This window comes from Homo sapiens, chromosome 1, assembly GCF_000001405.40.
Source record: "Homo sapiens chromosome 1, GRCh38.p14 Primary Assembly".
NCBI classification, from domain to species: domain Eukaryota; kingdom Metazoa; phylum Chordata; class Mammalia; order Primates; family Hominidae; genus Homo; species Homo sapiens.
The window spans coordinates 37161122-37177932 of record NC_000001.11 but is presented as its reverse complement, the minus strand read 5'-3'; the positions used below and the strand labels follow the sequence as shown (position 1 = coordinate 37177932).

General features: G+C 41.8%; 1 non-coding gene across 1 annotated transcript, besides 2 other annotated features; it reads right to left on the bottom strand.

The window, feature by feature from the left end:
- Positions 4009–4178: an enhancer, noted in NCBI's record as "experimental_7709 CRE fragment used in MPRA reporter constructs". NCBI's record gives its function as "activates a minimal promoter by MPRAs in K562 erythroleukemia cells, with activity observed for the non-introgressed 1:37639441 or rs74703550 variant allele {active_cell/tissue: K562}" and the evidence as "EXISTENCE:reporter gene assay evidence [ECO:0000049][PMID:34662402]".
- Position 4093: a transcriptional cis regulatory region, noted in NCBI's record as "Neanderthal adaptively introgressed variant 1:37639441 (GRCh37/hg19 assembly coordinates) or rs74703550 in the experimental_7709 CRE". NCBI's record gives its function as "modulates activity of the experimental_7709 enhancer by MPRAs in K562 erythroleukemia cells {active_cell/tissue: K562}" and the evidence as "EXISTENCE:reporter gene assay evidence [ECO:0000049][PMID:34662402]".
- On the bottom strand, positions 16299–16370 carry MIR4255 (microRNA 4255). Its single transcript, NR_036217.1, has one exon. It is a non-coding gene; the product is annotated as a microRNA 4255 (primary transcript).
- Between the last annotated feature and the right edge of the window lie 441 nt (positions 16371–16811).

The following is a 16811-nucleotide window of genomic DNA, read 5'->3' as shown; positions in this document are numbered from 1 at the left end:
CACCAGCCACTAGTGTGGCCATGCTCTGCAGCCATGAAATTCTTCCTTTGGTTTCTCCAATAAAAGAATCCTCTAAAAAGAATCTCATCTATTAATGTGATTATTAATCTGGAAAAAAAAGCCCACTTCTCAATAAAATGAATCTATGACAAGACAGATGTAATAAACCTGGTTAGGATTTATGATGTGCCCGGGCAGCGTTTTGCAAAAGATAACGTTCCCCTGTAATGTGGATTTGCCGGATGAGAACCATGTAATTTATTCTGTCAATGTACATAAGAAATGTTATCTGTGTGGGGAATGACTGATGGCCTCATGAAAGCTGGCAGGGAAACAAATAAAACAATTTGGGCCTTGAAAATATAATCACCTAATGATCACATCCCCCTGTTGGTGACGTGGAGTGCAGGGCTGGAAGCTGCTGCTGTTGTGAATTTGTCGCCCAGACAAGGAGCCATTTACCCTTGAGCCTGGCACCAGAGGGCAGCAGGGAGCCCCAAGAGTCTCTTATGAAGGTGCAAGTTCCTCCCTCTGGGCCTTTGCTCAGGCTGTTCCCTCCTCCTGGATGTTCTTCCAGTCCTGGCTCATGGGTCTCTCCTCCACGGCAAGTTCCGTGTCTGCAGCTTTCCAAGCCCAAACTATGGCGACAGCAGGGTTTTTGCCTCCTGAGGACGCTTGCAGCCACTCTCTGGTTCCTTTTTATGCCACTTGGCACTTGTTCCCATGGATTCAGTGATTGATGTAATTTTCTTTTTGAGACTAGACCTCATCTTGTTTCAGCATCTTCTGTAGGAAGGATCATTTCATGCGTGCACCTGAGTGTTCTCTGAGTGAATTAATGCTCAGAGGCGTAGCTACTATCTGTTGAACATGTTAAGTGTGGCATGCACTGTGCTAGATGCTTCACAACATGCTCATGTGAATGGAACCACCCCAAAAGGCACCACTGTTGTTTGCTTTTACGTAGTGGGAACTGAGTCTCCCACTTGAACTGCCGTCCAAGGTTATACACACGGCAAGTGGAGGAGCCAGGATCTTGCCATTGTGATTCCATATTGCACGAGCCCTCTGTGCCAGTCACCCTCCCATGCTGACTGCCCCCTCCTGAGACCCTTCTTCCCTTGGTTTCCATACAGCAACCTCTCCTGTTTTCCCTCTCACTTCTCTTACCACCCCTTCTCATTCTTTCCAAAACCTTCTTTCTTAAATGTTGGTGTCCATCAGCTCTGTGCTCAGCCTTTCTTCCTCTCTCAGCAGCACTTCTTATTCCCTGCTTTAGCTTTCACATGGAGGTTTTGACTCCCAGCTCTCTCCCTGTGTCCCAAGTCCCTCCAGGAACATTCCCAAGGCACTTCAGAACTGAGTTCACCATTGCTGCGCCCACCCATAGCTGCTCCCACCCCTAGCTGCTCCCCACATCCACTCCTCCTTCTGTGATCCTATTCTCAGAGGCTGGCACCTCTCCCATCCACCCACCTAAATGACCTGACAGCCACCTTGATTAGCTCTCCTACCCTGCCCTCAAGGGCAGACATGTCACCAATAGCCTCTTGTTAGCCACTTCTGGAGCATTTCATCTGCCACCTACAACTGTGCCCACTCTAGTCCAGGCCACTCTTATCCACCAGATCTTTGAGCCTCAGCAGAGACATCACCTCCCTAAGGAAGCTTTCTGTAAACTTTCCAGACGAGCTTTAGCACTCTCCAGCCTCCTCCCATTGGACCTTAGGGTGCTTGTCATTCTCCAAGGTAATGATGTGCCTTTAGACCTTTCCCCTCTAGACTGTGAGCTTTCTGAGGGCAGGGGGCCAGGTCTGATGGACTTAGGAACCCTGTGTGCCACATAAGGCTGGGCCTGGTACACAGGAGATGCTCAGAGACTCTCTGCTAAGTGAGTGAGTCAGGGAGTGACACAGGCTGGGGGAAGCCTAGCCAGAGCCCTGCCCCAGAGTGTGCTGGAGAGATAAGAAAGACCTCAGGCAGATGCACCTCTGGTCACTGAGCATGGCCCAGAATCCTTGGGAAGGGCAGAAAGCCAAGATAGCCAGAGGGAATACCTTGGACATGCCCTGGGGCACTGGTTGAAGAGTCCATGGGCAGGGTCATCAAAGGGTATGGAAAGTACACAAGAGGGAGTATGTCTGAGCCAAGGCCAGCATGGAGGCCAGAACACAAGGACATGAGGCTGGCTCTGGCCTTGACAACATGAGGAGAGGCCAGAGTACAGGCTGGAGACCAGGCAAAGCCTCTCATCAGGACAAGGCCAGGGCTGGGAAGTGACAGGGCTACCAGAGACAGGGCAGGGGAGCCTATATGTCAAACACACGCAGGCCCAAGTTCCTGTAGAGAATCTTATCTCTGGGAGTGCAGCATGAGGCTTAGACACACAGCTTAAGGTAAGCCACCACGGCTGGGACATTGAACCTTGAGTCTGAGGAAAGTGATTGTATCATTCAATGCCTGGCAAGAAACAGAATACCCACCAGGTGATTCAAATGAAGAAAGGTAGATGGAGGGACTGCTTATAGAGGTGTAGGCAGAATAACAGGAATCAACAAATGATCACCCCGAGAGTCACAGCAGCAGAGAGCTGCTACTCCTCTGAGGATCAAAAAGAAAAAGGGCCCAGTAAGAGCTGGAGCCAGGGAGGAGGTCTGGGGAGAGCTGTTAGCCACAGAGGGGTATAGCTACTGCCAGAAACATGGTGCCAAAGCAAGAAGGGGGCAGAGAATAAATGACCCAACCTCTCCTTCTGCCCTGCTGATGACTCCCATTGGCTGAACCCAGCAGTGAGGTTAAATTCCCGGGTCATGGAGCAGATTAGAAAAGGAAACAGAGTTGGTCTGGGGGGAAGTGAGGATCAACCAGTACGGTGACTCATTGTTAAGTCTCCCAGCTGATATGCTAAGGCTGAATCTGGAATCTCACTGCAGAATTGACCTGTCTGCTAGTTGGTCTGCAGGCAGGGCCATGAGGGAATCTAGCTTTGGGATTTGGGGAGGCAGAGGCAGAAAGAAGGTGAGCAGCCCTGCATGAAAATGGAGGCCTCCCTAGTTGGTCTTCTGTTCTTATCATGTGCGAACCTTGAGCCAGGTTTAAACACGAGGTCTAGACTGTGCTAAGGCTGAGACCATGACTGTAGGACTTAGTTTCCCTAAAGGTAGAGTGACAACATTAGATCAAAGCAACAATTCTCAAATGGTGTTCCAAGGAGCTCTAGAGCTTGGTGGAGATGCCTCAGGGGTTAGTAAGTATATGGAGGAGGAGGCTAAGAGAGTTGCTGCGGGGAGCCCTAATAAATGCTAATCAGGCCAGCTAGTTAATGAAAAAAGCCTTTCTTGCATTTGGCTTCGAGAGAGCAGCTCAAATGAGTTGGACTTGGAGCATTTCAGCCTGGATGTGGGTACTGCCAGAGAAGGAGGGATGGTAACTGCCAATGCTTTTGGCAGTCCTAGAGTCTGGTCCGTGGTCCAAGAGGCAAAATATTGGGAGGCAGTTAGGGTGGGTCCCAGGCATGTCCTGAGAGATGCTATGGACCAAACTGGGGAGCCAGAGGGAGAGAGAAGATAAAATCCAAGCATCATTCAATGGGGAGAGAAGATCAAAACACGTCTGACCAAGTGAATGTCTTTGGGGATCTTCTGGATGATTCCCAAGTCTGCTTGTCAGATATGATTGTTTCTTCAGATACAGATGGAAAAGCCTTCCAGGTGGGTAGACCAGGAAAAGTTCTGATGAAATTCTTTGATGTGTAGAAATACTACCCTCAGAGGGCCCCCCTGCCTGCCAGTCCCCAGCCTCCCAGGCCCCTTGGCACACACCCTGGTCCAGAATAAGGCCCTGTTTAGATTTCCCACTAATGGCTAGAATCTTCTGGTCTCTACTTGTTTGTGCTAGAGTCCTGAGAAGCCCAACTCAGCAATTGTGGCTTCTGCCAGCCTGTCTCTGGCCTCCCTCTCTTGAATTCTTCCTTCTGCCTTATTCTGTAATCTCTCCCAAGGCTGACACCTTCCCTGGGATTCTGTCCTGAGGGATACCGGCCCCAGTTTATAAGATCTCATTTCTGGCCCCAGGTATTAGGCCCTCCCCATACCCCACCTAAGTCTGCTCCACCTACCAGGACTCATCTAGTTCTTAGCACAGGCTCCCAGTCACAATCGCAAAGGGATCTGATCTGCTCTTGCTGCAATGTGCATGGAAAGAAAGTTGCAAGAAAATGTCATCAACACTTTTATAAAACAAGGTAGTTTAATCTGAATACATGTAGCTTACAGTCATAACAAATGGCTAACATTTATTGAACAATTCCAAAGTTCCAATTCCACTGTGCTAAGTTCTTCACACACATGATTTCAATTAAGCCACACCACAGCTCTCTGATAGTGTGCTTTTGTTATCCTCAATATATACAGATGAAGAAACTGAGGCTCACAGAAGAAATGCCTTCCCCAAGCTCCCACAGTTAAGAAGAGATGGAGCCTGTGTGTGTAACAACTCCACTCACCATCATTTTGGGGTTGGGAAGAGAAATGAAGTCTTCTACAAATCTCTGAAAAGGCCCTTCTCAGCCACAAATGGAGGAAACAGCACAAAAATACAGACAAACAACACAAAAAGGCTGAACAATAAGCACCATCTCCAAGAAGCAGAGCAATTAGGGGAGAAAATAAAATAGCTTTTCTCTCTCTGAAATAATAGGCTTCTATTAATTCTAAAATATTTTGACTTTGTTGTTTATGATAAGAAATCCAAGTTTGATTCCTTCTGCTTGAATCACCTCTCCTCACTTTATTGTATAGTCGGCCTTTTCCCATCCTTCAGGTCTCAGTTTTTATATCACCTCCTCAGAGAAGCCTTCTGTGACCGTACAAACATAAATTGGCCCTGTGATTTTCTGCTGGACCCCTCACCTATTTCTTCACAGCGCTGATCTGCTCAGCACCATTTGCAATTGTCTGTATGTGCATGTGTGGTGTGTGTGCATGTGAGCTTTTTCTTCTGTTCCCCTCACCCCTAGACTATAAGCTTGGTGAGGCTAGAGACCACCTCCTATGCATTCATCCCTCTAGAACCCACACCCAGCCTGAGGCATATCAGATGCCCGCCCAGTAAGCTGGTGTCTAAAAGACAAATGAATAAATGTGGTGTACTTTTATTTATCATCCTTCAGAAATCCATTTTTATATTCTCTGATCTTATTTAATAACATATCACTTAAGAACAATTTGATATCCGTTGCAGTATGTAGACTGGGAAATCATGTAAATGTGGTTATTACTTTCTGGCTATCAGCGATGCTTTTGTATTGTTGGAAGGAAGAGAAACAGGATAATAGAAAGAGCATGCGTGGGCAATTGTGACATCTGGGTATGAGCCTTGGCTTTGCTGCTTACCAGCTGTGTGATCTTGGGCATGACTTTTCCCTCTCTGGTCCTGAGTTTTCTCAGCTATAAAATGAGCTTAGACCAGGGACTCTCTGGGGCTCTTTCAGCTGTAAGAGCTGAGACTCTGAGAATTATATAAACCTAACTTGTATGTGGTTAAAATGATTGGATTTGGGGTGTCAAAGCCTGTTTTGAGCTGCACTAGAACTAGAATGGCATTTTGTTGAGATGCAGTCCTGCCCTAAAGTCAGGAGACTTCTCATGTCACCTGTGTTGTTGCAGAACCTCCCCGTTATCCATGTGTGCTGCTGGGAGTGCTGGTGGAAGGCAGAGCTACACCTCTTTCTCTCTTATAGGCCTGTTCTTTGTCTTTCCCATCCTGAGAAGCTCTGGAAACTGAAGCTGGTAAGAAAGAAGCTGCAAAAAGAAAAAAAAAACAACCTTTTTTATCTCCCACTTCTATCTTCTCATCCTCAGACCATAAAGCATCCAATCACTACTCAGCAACTGGGCTGGAATGAAAGTCACAGGAGATGTGACTGAGTTCCAGGCGCTGCAGCCTGAGGAGCCAGGAGGAGCCCAGGGGGTCACAGGGTCTGCCAGGGCCAGTGTCTCAGTGCGTATTAATTGGTGTTTAAGTGGGTTCATCAGCGCGGAGCGGCTGCCGCCACTGCTGAGCTCAGCCCGGGCCCAAGGAGCTGGGAGCTGGGTTAATAACACCTTATTTAGCAGAAAATTCCACTCCACTGGAGCATGTTTCAGAAGGAGTTTGATATGAATGAGGATTGATGTCAATCCTGCAAGGCAAAAGCGCCTGAAGCTGCTACTGCAGCCATGGCTATAAAACAAGCCATTTGTGGTGCCTGCAGGAAGGCATGCAGAGTGCAGGAGCACCTATGTCTGTATACCCCACACCCCCGTGGGATGGGCAATCCTGAAGGGACTGGCTAGTGGGAGCCCTGGTGCCCTGAACATTCTTAGGCATCTTTTAGCTTTGGACCAAACAGACCAGGGCTCAAATGGGCCCCACATATTTATTCAACAGACCAGGGCTCAAATTTGGAACTGCCAGTTCTCAAATGTGTGATCTCAGGCAACTTGTGTAACCTCTCGAAGTCTTGGTTAACTCATCTCCACAGCAGAGATATTAAAACCTGCCTTGGAGAGTTGATATGAGGCTTAAGGAAGCTTGTGCACAGTGGGTTACAGAACGACCATAGTTTCTGGCATGGAGGTGGCCCTAAATCAGTTTGAAATCCCATTTCACTTCTGTCCCAGGACAAGGCGAGGATGTGTGGGGTGGGAAAAGGAGTGTGGATTAGAAAAGGTTCTTACGCCTCCCTCACGTGGGGTGCCATTTGAGAGTGACTTGTCTCCAAGACTTGCCCTGCCTGTGGTTTATTTGGACAGCTTGGACTGAGAATCTAGTGAAAAATCAGATCCTGTCTGCCTTCAACTCCTGTCTGTCTTTTACCCAAAAGTGTGGCTGGCAGGTCCTAATGGCTCCAGGTCCAGGGGAGGCCTCAGAGTTCCAGATTAGAGACAATATGGTCAGGTTGGTTCATCTCCACAGATCTGTCTGGTAACGGCAATAAGGAATGAAATCTCTTTTTCTTTAGTTTCTTTCTTTTCCTTCTGCTGGTGCTGTGATTCTCCATTCCCATTTGGCAGCCCCTGTGTATGCAGTGTGCACTGGGAGGAAGAGATGGAGAGGGGAAGCAGGAGGCCTGCATCCTAACCTTTCTTATACCTGTCTCACCATGACTAAGTACTCCCCATGCTGGCCTCAGGAACACTGCCAGGGACCTGAAGCTTTGGTTTCGAACAGCTGTAATGTTCCTAGATATTAAGTCTGAGCAGAAGAAGCTCTGAGTTACTGTCTCACAGCTCTGGCAGGAGACATGGTTCCTTCTTCAAGGAGGAGTCGAGAGCCACAGCCACATGTTTTCCAGCTGCAGAGGATGAGGCAGTGAGAATGGGTGCACCCAGCACCATTGTGTCTCCACTGAAGGGCTTTGCGAGTGCCTCGAAACGGGGCCTAAAGCAGCTTTCATGTTTATTTTTAAATCTTTTTGGGCTTGCTGTTCTTGGCGGTGCTGATTTTAATTCTTCTCTTTCTCCAGCCCTTTCAGACGAGAGCTGGTTGACAAGGCATAGGCACGATTGTGTTTGCCCAAGTGCAGATAATATCAGATGTGGCAGATCCGCTGAGCCCCAGCTTCCGAAGAGAAATAGAACATAATAAACAGGTACCAGAGGGAGGATAAATAGGGAGGATTAAATCTGAACAAAGGCGGGAACATCTGGGACATACAAAAGCTTGTTTGGAGAATTGCTTGGGAGAGAAAGGAATGAAGAAGAAAGCAGCCCACTTCACCCCGCACTCGGCTCTGCTTCTGGGCTCTAGCAGGCACACAGTGAACACAGGGCAGCCTCTGGGGAGGGGTGGATGAGGCTGGAGCACAGTGGAATCTGTGTTTCTGGAGGATCCCAAAAGGCAAAGCTCTGGTTCCCCCCCACAGCTGTCCCTGAGGCAGAGGCCAGGGAACACGCAGGCCCTCTTCCCCTTGTGTCAGCCCTCGTTGTCCCTCCCTCAGCCTACTTTACCTGCCATTGGGGTCCTGAATCTCCTCTTTCGTAAAGTCATCTTTGGCTTCCCTGAGATAAGCAGGCAACCTCTGCTCTTCCTTGCATTGTGTCTGGGCTCTTTCCCCCTGGACCAACATGTCTGATGGAGCGTGGGCCCTATTTCAACGACTAGTTGAAGTGCTTAAGTGGTTGGGGGAAAGAATTTAGTTTTCAAAAGTGCCTTAGATGAGTCTCCTGGACAATCCGCTTTTCGGAAGCCCTGGTGACCACCACTTCTCCCCAGTATGGTTCTCTTAACTATCTTCTTGCCTCTTGCCTCATCCCTCCACTCTGTTCTCAATGCTGTGATTGGACCAATCCAAACAAAAAGGGCCCCAGTTAAAATCCTGCATGGAAAGGAAGCACTTCCAGAATGGCAGAGGAACAATCTTCAACAATCTACTCCTGCATGAAAGCAATGAGAACACTGGAAACACTGTCAGAATCGACATTTTTAGAACTCTGGAAATTAATCAAAGGCTCACAACAATCAAAAGAGTGTTTATTCAAGAAAAATGGCTTGGTTTCATCAAGTGCAGTGAGCTTTGTGGCATTTCAACTTGTCTTATTCTCATGCCTCTGTCCCTAGCGCTGTGTTAGCCTTGAAAACCAGCAGCCTCACAATCACAACAGCTGTGAAAACCACTAGCCCAACAATCATGGGATGGGGAAGAACAGGTTTAGAGCCTCAAACAAAAGTTTTATTTCAAAAGAATTGTAACTATTTGATCTGTCTGGCAGTTCCCTGGAAAAACCCCATCACAGGCTTGCCTTCATTTGACCTAACTAGAAGCTTGTTCAGTGAGACACTCTGTCTGCAGATCATTTGTTCAAAACAATCACAGGCAATTGTTTAATATCACACAGTTAACTGAGTTGGGGATACCTGCTGGGGTGAACAAGAGGCTGGCCAAAAAGCTTATATCTGGTGAATGAGATATTGAAGGGGGCTTTGAAGTGCTCTGAAATATTCCTGTGAATCTAGAAGGCCCATATGTGTAGGGCTGTGCACACGCTCAAGAAAGACCTGAGAATGCCCTAATCTCTCACCTCTGACCCTGGAACTCTGCACAAGCAGGAGATGAAGGCTTGGGCAGCGTCATTAATTTTCAGAGCCCTGAAGGTGTGTCTTAACCACACATGGAGCCCCCCTCAGCAAAGGATGGGAGGCTTATTGGTACTGGTTGAAGTTGTTTAAGGAAATCTCTGTTCAATCATTAGATAATCACTAAGGTAACTGAGCAGAGACCTCAATGGCTGCAGACTTTACAGACTTTATAGAATTAGATCAGAAAAGTCACTAAATAAACAGCAATAACAACAACAAATCCAGAGGAGGGGGGAAATCTGATTTTCAGAGTTGCCACAATATATTATTTAAAATGTTTAGTTTTCAACCAAAAATTATGAAACATGCAAAGAAACAGGAAAATATGGCTCATACATAAAGGAAAAAAGTAGTCATAAGAAACTACACCAAGTTTCTTAAGAGGAAGCTGAGATGTTGGGCTTACTAGAAAGACTTTAGATTAACTATGACAAATGTTTTTAGAACTAAAAGAAAGGACATCCAAATAATTAAAGTATAAGAGCAATGTCTCACTAAATAGAGACTATCACTGAACAGATAAATATTATATATATATATTTATATATATATAAATATATATATATTTATATATATATAAATATTATATAAATATCATATATATATGAACCAAATAGCAACTATGGAGTTGAAAAGTATGAAAACTGAAGTGAAAATTTTACTAGATAATCTCAGCAGCAGGTTTGAACTGGCAGAAAAAAGGACTAGCAAACTTGAAAATAAGTCAATTGAGGTTACCCAGTCTGAGAAACAGAAAAAAAGGAAAAAATGAGCAGAGCCTCAGAGACCAATGGGATGTCATGAAGCATACTAAGATATGCATAATGGAAGTCTGAGAAAGAGAGAAGAGAGAGAAAGATGCAAAAAGAATATTTGAAGAAATAATGGCCTAAAATGTCCTAAATTTGATGAAAAACTTTACACATTCAAGAAACTCAATACATTTCATGTAGAATAAAGTCAAAGAGATCCACACTTAAATGCATCATTGTCAGATGGTCAAAAGCTGAAGACAAAAAGATAATCCTAAAATCAACAAGAGGAAAATTACTCATCACATACAAGAGATCCTCAAAAAGATTAAGAGCTGACACTTCATCAGAAACCAGGGAAGCCAGAGGCTGTGTAATGACATATTCAAGATGCTGAAAGAAAAAGAAGGTTAACCAAAACACTCCAGCTCATCACCACTGATCATTAGAGAAATGCAAATCAAAACCACAATGAGATACTATCTCCTGCCAGTTAGAATGGTGATCATTAAAAAGGCCGGAAACAACAGATGCTGGCAAGGATGTGGAGAAATAGGAACACTTTTACACTGTTGATGGGAATGTAAATTAATTCAACCATTGTGGAAGACAGTGTGGCAATTCCTCAAGGATCTAGAACCAGAAATACCATCTGACGCAGCAATCCCATTACTGGGTATATACTCAAAGGATTATAAATCATTCTACTATAAAGGACACATGCACATGTATGTTTATTTCAGCACTCTTTACAATAGCAAAGACTTGGAACCAACCCAAATGCCCATCTGGATAAAGAAAATGTGGCACATATACACCATGGAATACCATGCCGTGGTAAAAAAGAATGAGTTCATATCCTTTGCAGCTCATGGATGAAGCTGGAAACCATCATCCTCAACAAACTAACACAGGAACAGAAAACCAAACACTGCATCTTCTCATTCATAAGTGGGAGTTGAACAATGAGAACACATGGACACAGGAAGGGGAACATCACACACTAGGGCCTGGCAGGGGGTGGGCAAAAAAGGGGATGGAGAGCATTAGGACAAATACCTAATGCACGTGGGGCTTAAAACCTAGATGACGGGTTGATAGGTGCAGCAAACCACCATGACACATGTATATCTATGTAACAAACCTGCATGTTCAGCACATGTATCCCAGAAGTTAAAGTTAAAAAACAAAAACAAATAAAAGCCTCAAAAACAAAGGAGGTATTAACACATTTTCAGATAAACAAAAACCAAGAATTTGTTGGTAACAGGCTTGCTCTACAAAAGATACTAATGAGAGTCTCTGAAGTTTAAATGAAAGGACAAAGCAGTCATTTGAATCCACACAAAGAAATAAAGAGCACAAGTAACAGTAACATGGGTAAGTATAAAAAAATAGTATAAGTACATTTTTGTTTGTAATGATTTTCTTTTCCTATTGCACTTAAAACACAATTGCATAAAGCAGTAATTATAAAATTGTGTTGAGGAGCTGATAATGTATAAAGACCTAATTTGTATAACAATCAACAAAGGAGGAGGAAACAAAGATATATTGGAACAAAGTTTTTTGCATATTATTGAAATTATGTTGGCATTATCCAAACTAAATTAAGTTAAGAAGTTAATTATAACTCCCAGAGAAACCACTAAGACAAGAACTAAAAAACAAACCATGGTAATGAAACAACAGAGAATTAAAATAATACACTAGAAAGTATCTAGCGTATACAAATGAAGGCAGTAATGGAAGGGTAGAGGAACAACAACAACAATAACAACAACAAAAACCCATGCCATATAGAAAACAAATACCAAATATCAGATATAATTTCTACCTTATCAGCAATTACATTAAATGTGAATGAACTAAACATTCCAATCAAAAGGCTGAGATAGGCAAAATAGAAAAAAACTCATAATCCAACTATACGCTATCTACAAGAGGCACACATTAGATTCAAAGACACAAATAGATTAAAAGTAAAAAGATAAAGAAAAATATACTGTGCAGAGTAAACAAATAAGAGCTGAAGAGGCTACACTAATCAGACAAGTAGACTTTAAGATTAAAAACTGTCACTAGAGACAAAGAACATTTTATAATGATGAAAAATCTATTGGAAATGCATAACAATTAAATATATACATTCACTTAGCAAGGCCCCAACATCTGTGAAGCAAAACCTGATAGAATTGAGAGAGACATAGAATATCCAATAATAATAGTTGGAGACTTCTACTCCACTTTCAATAATGAATGGAACAACAAGGTTGAAGATCAACAAGGAAATAGAAGACTTGAACAACATTATAAAGCAGACACTATGCAGAATATTTCACCTAATAATGCAGAATACACATTTTTCTCAAGTGCACATAAAACATTCTCCAGGATAGACCATATGTTAGACCATAAGACAAGCCTCAATAAATTCAAAAGAATTAAAATTATGCAAAGTATGCTCTTTGACCACTACGGAATAAAATTAGAAATCAATAACAGAAGAAAAAGTGAGAAATTCACAAATACGTTTAAATTAAACAATACATTCCTAAATAAAAAATGGATTAAAGGAAAAAAATCACAAGGTAGTTAGAAAATACTCTGAAATAAATGAAAATGAAAATGTAAACACAATATACCAAAATGTATGGGACACAGCAAAAGCAGTGTTGAGAGAACTTTATAGCTATCAGCACCTATGTTAAATAAAAAGGCAGATCTCAAATCAATGACCTACATTTCCACCTTACAAAACTAGTAAAAGAAAAGTAAACCAAAATCAAGCAAAAGGAAGAAAATAATAAAGATTAGAGTAGAAATGAATAAAATAGAGAATAAAAAATAGAGAAATTTAATGAAAACCAAAAGTCAGTTTTTGTTTGTTTTGTTTTGTTTTGTTTTTGAGATGGAGTCTCACTGTATCGCCCAGGCTGGAGTGCAGTGGCATGATCTCAGCTCACTGCAAGCTCCACCTCCTGGGTTCATGCCATTCTCCTGCCTCAGCCTCCTGAGTAGCTGGAACTACAGGAGTCTGCCACCATGCCAGGCTAATTTTTTGTATTTTTAGTAGAGACAGGGTTTCACGGTGTTAGCCAGGATGGTCTCGATCTCCTGACCTTGTGATCCGCCTGACTTGGCCTCCCAAAGTGCTGGGATTACAGGCGTGAGCCACCACGCCCAGCCAAAAGTCAGTTTTTAAAAATATCAACAAATTGACAAATCCTTTAGGAAAACTGTCCAAGAAAAAGAGAGAAGACTCAAATTATTAAAATCAGAGATGAAAGAGGTGACATCACTACAGATCTTATAGAAATAAAAAGGATTATCTGCTATACTATGAATAACTGTATGCCAACAAATTAGGTAATATAGATGAAATGAACAAATTCCTAGACAGATGTAAACTACTGAAATTGGCTCAAGAAGAAATATAAAAAACTGAATATATCTATTACAAGAGATTGAATTAATAAAAACCAAAACAACAATAATAAGAGATTCCAACAAAGAAAAGCCCAGGCACAGATGTCTTTGCCAGTGAATTCTACCCAACATGTAAAGAATTAATACCAATTTTTCATGAATCCTTCAAAGAAATAGAAGAGGAAGAAACACTTCCCAATGAATTCTATGAGCCCGGTATTACCCTAGTACCAAAACCGGATAAAAATAACAAGAAAATAAATCTATAGTCCTTATTAATATAGACACAAAATTCTCAACAAAATACTGGTGAAATGAATCAAGGAATATATAAAAATAATTGTATGCCATTGCCAAGTAGAATTTATTCCAGGAATGTGAAGTTCTTTTAACATCTGTAAAAACAACTAATATGATATACCATATTAATAGAAAAAGGAACAAAATCTACATGATAGTTTCAGTAGATGCAGAAAAAGTATTTGACAAAATCCAACTCCATTTCAAGATAAAAGCACTCAATAAAATAAAAATGGAAGGTATTTTCCTCAGCTTAATAAAACTCATCTATGAAAAAAACCCACAGCTAACACACTGGTGAAAAACTGATTGCTTTTCCTCAAAGATTAGGAGCAAGACAAATATATTCAGTCTTACCATTTATATTTAACATTGTAATGGAGTTTCTAGCCAGGGCAATTGGGCAAGTAAGGGAAATAAAAGACACCCAGATTGGAAAGGAGGAAGTAAAATTATGTCTATTTGCAGGTGACATGATCTTATGTATACTAAATACTAAGGAATACACACACACACACACACACACAAACTATTAGAACAAGTCCAGTATGGTTGCAGAATATAAGATTAATATACAGAAGTCAATTATATTTCTATATACTATCAATAAAAAATCCAAACATGAAATTAAGAAAACTATTCTATTTACAATAGCATAAATAGTATAAAATTATCAGGAATACATTTAACAGGAGTGCAAGACTTGTATAACCAACAATACAGTTGAAAAATATTGTTGAAAAAGTTAAAGAAGACCTAGATAAATGGAAAGACATTTCATATTCATGGTCAGAAGCTTTGTTAAGCTGGAAATACTCCCCAGATTGATCCACAGATTAAATGCAATCCCTGTTAGAATACAAGCTGACTTCTTTGTAGAAATTCACAAGCTAATTCTAAAGTTCATATGAAATGTAAAGGGACCCAGAATGACCAAAATAATCTTGAAAGGCAATAACAAAGTATGAGTACTCTTACTGCTTGATATCAAAACTTACTACAAAAAAAAAAAAAAAAACCCGGTAATCAAGACAGTACAGGGCTGGCATAAGGATAGACATGTATATCAATAGAATGGAATTGAGTTGATAGATTAAACCCATACATCTATGGCCAACTGATTATTAACAAGGTTGCCAAGACAATTCAATGAAGGAAAGAATAGTCTTCAACAAATGATGCTGGACACTGTATAGCCACTTGCCAAAAAGAAAGAAGTAGAACCCTACCTCACATCATATACAAAAATCAGCTAAAAATGGATCAAAGATCTAAACATAGGAGCTAAAACTATAACACTTGTAGAAGAAAATGCAGGAGAAAATCTTTATAACCTTGGATTGGACAATGGATTCTTAGATTTGGCGCTAAAAGCACAAGTGACAAAACAAACAAAAAATAGACAAACTGGACTTCATCAAAATTAAAACTTTCATGCTTCAAACGACACCATCAAGAAAGTGAAAAGACAAATCCAAAAATGGGAGAAAATATATGCAAATTATATATCTGATAAGGGTATTGTTTTCAGGATATATAAAGAACTCTTACAACTCAATAATAAAAAGGAAAGTAACTCAGTTTTTAAAATGGGCAAATAATTTGAACAGAAATTTCTCCAAAGAAGATATACAATTGTCCAATAACCACATGAAAAGATGCTTAATATAATCAGTCATAAGGGAAATGCAAATTAAAACCACTACGAGATACCACTTTACATGCATTGGAATAGCTAAAATAAAAAAGACACATAATAACAAAGATTGACAAGTACATGCAGAAATTGTAACCCTGATACATTGCTAATCAAATTGTAAAATGGTACAGCCACTTTTGAACAATTTGGTAGTTCCTCAAAAAGTTAAACATAGAGTTAACTCTATAATATAATAGAACATTTCCACTCCTAGATATATATCCAAGAGAAATGAAGACATATCTTCACCCAAATGCTTGTACATAAGTGTTCATGGCAGCATTATTCATGACAGTCAAAAAGTGGAAACAACACAAATGACCATCAACTGATTAATGGATAAATAAAATGTGGTATATCAATACAATGGAATATTACACAACCATAAAAAGGAGTGAAGTACACACTACAACATGGATGAACCTTGAAAACATTATGCTAAGGGAAAGAAGCCAGTCACAAAAGATCACACATTGTATGACTGCATGTATATGAAATGTCATGCATAGGCAAATCCACTGAGAAAGAAAGTGGGTTAGTGGTTGCCAGGGACTGTCAAGCAAGGGGGAATGAGGAATGACTGCTAATTAGTATGGGATTTCTTTTGGAAGTGATGATGAAATGTTCTAAAATTAGATAGGTTACACAACTCTGTGGCATACTGAAGAATCACTGAATGTTACACTTTAAAAGGGTACATTTTATGGTGTGCAGACTACAGCTCAATAAAAATGTTATTTGAAAAGACTTCATGGCTTCCCCATTGCTATCAGGATGAATTTCCACCTCCTGCAGGATGAGACTCCTGCTGATCCCTCCAGGCTCATCTTTTGTTCTCCCAACACCCAAGCATTCAGTGCTCCAGCCTCATGACAGATCCCTCAACATGCTCCCAAGTCCTTATCTCTGCACCTTGAAGCTTGCTGTATATACAATGTAGAGGGTATGACCAAGGGCTTGGGAGTCACATCCTAGCATTGCAGACTACTGCTTCCAGCATGATGCTGCCTCTTTGCCCTAAAAATGGCCAGACCAATACTGACTCCATCTCTGAACACTGAAGGATGCTCTATAAAGTTCAATGACCTCTTACATTAGATGGCTCCATGGCCCACCTTTCCCACAGGCTTTCCTGGAGATTCCAGTTTTTCTAGTTACTGGGAACTTAATCTAGTAGACACAGAAACTGCTCTCCTAGTTGGTGGTAGGCTCTCAAGTTGAAAAGCCAGGTGAGATCAGGGGCAGGGGCACTAGACTAAACCAGATATTGGGTGAGCGTATGGAAGAAGCTGACCAGGAGAAAGGGAGAACATGCAAGAATGTCAGTGAGAGAGAGAGAAAAGAGTCTACACAGCCCTGGGGGATGAACAGAGAAAGTCCGGGTTCAGCTGCACTTCTGAGCTTTTGTTCTGTGAGATCTTTTTCATAATGTGCCCTCTTTATGTGAGCTAACTTGATTGGTTTTCTGTTTCTTGCAAATCAAGCATGTCACCCTCCTTTAATGCCGAAAA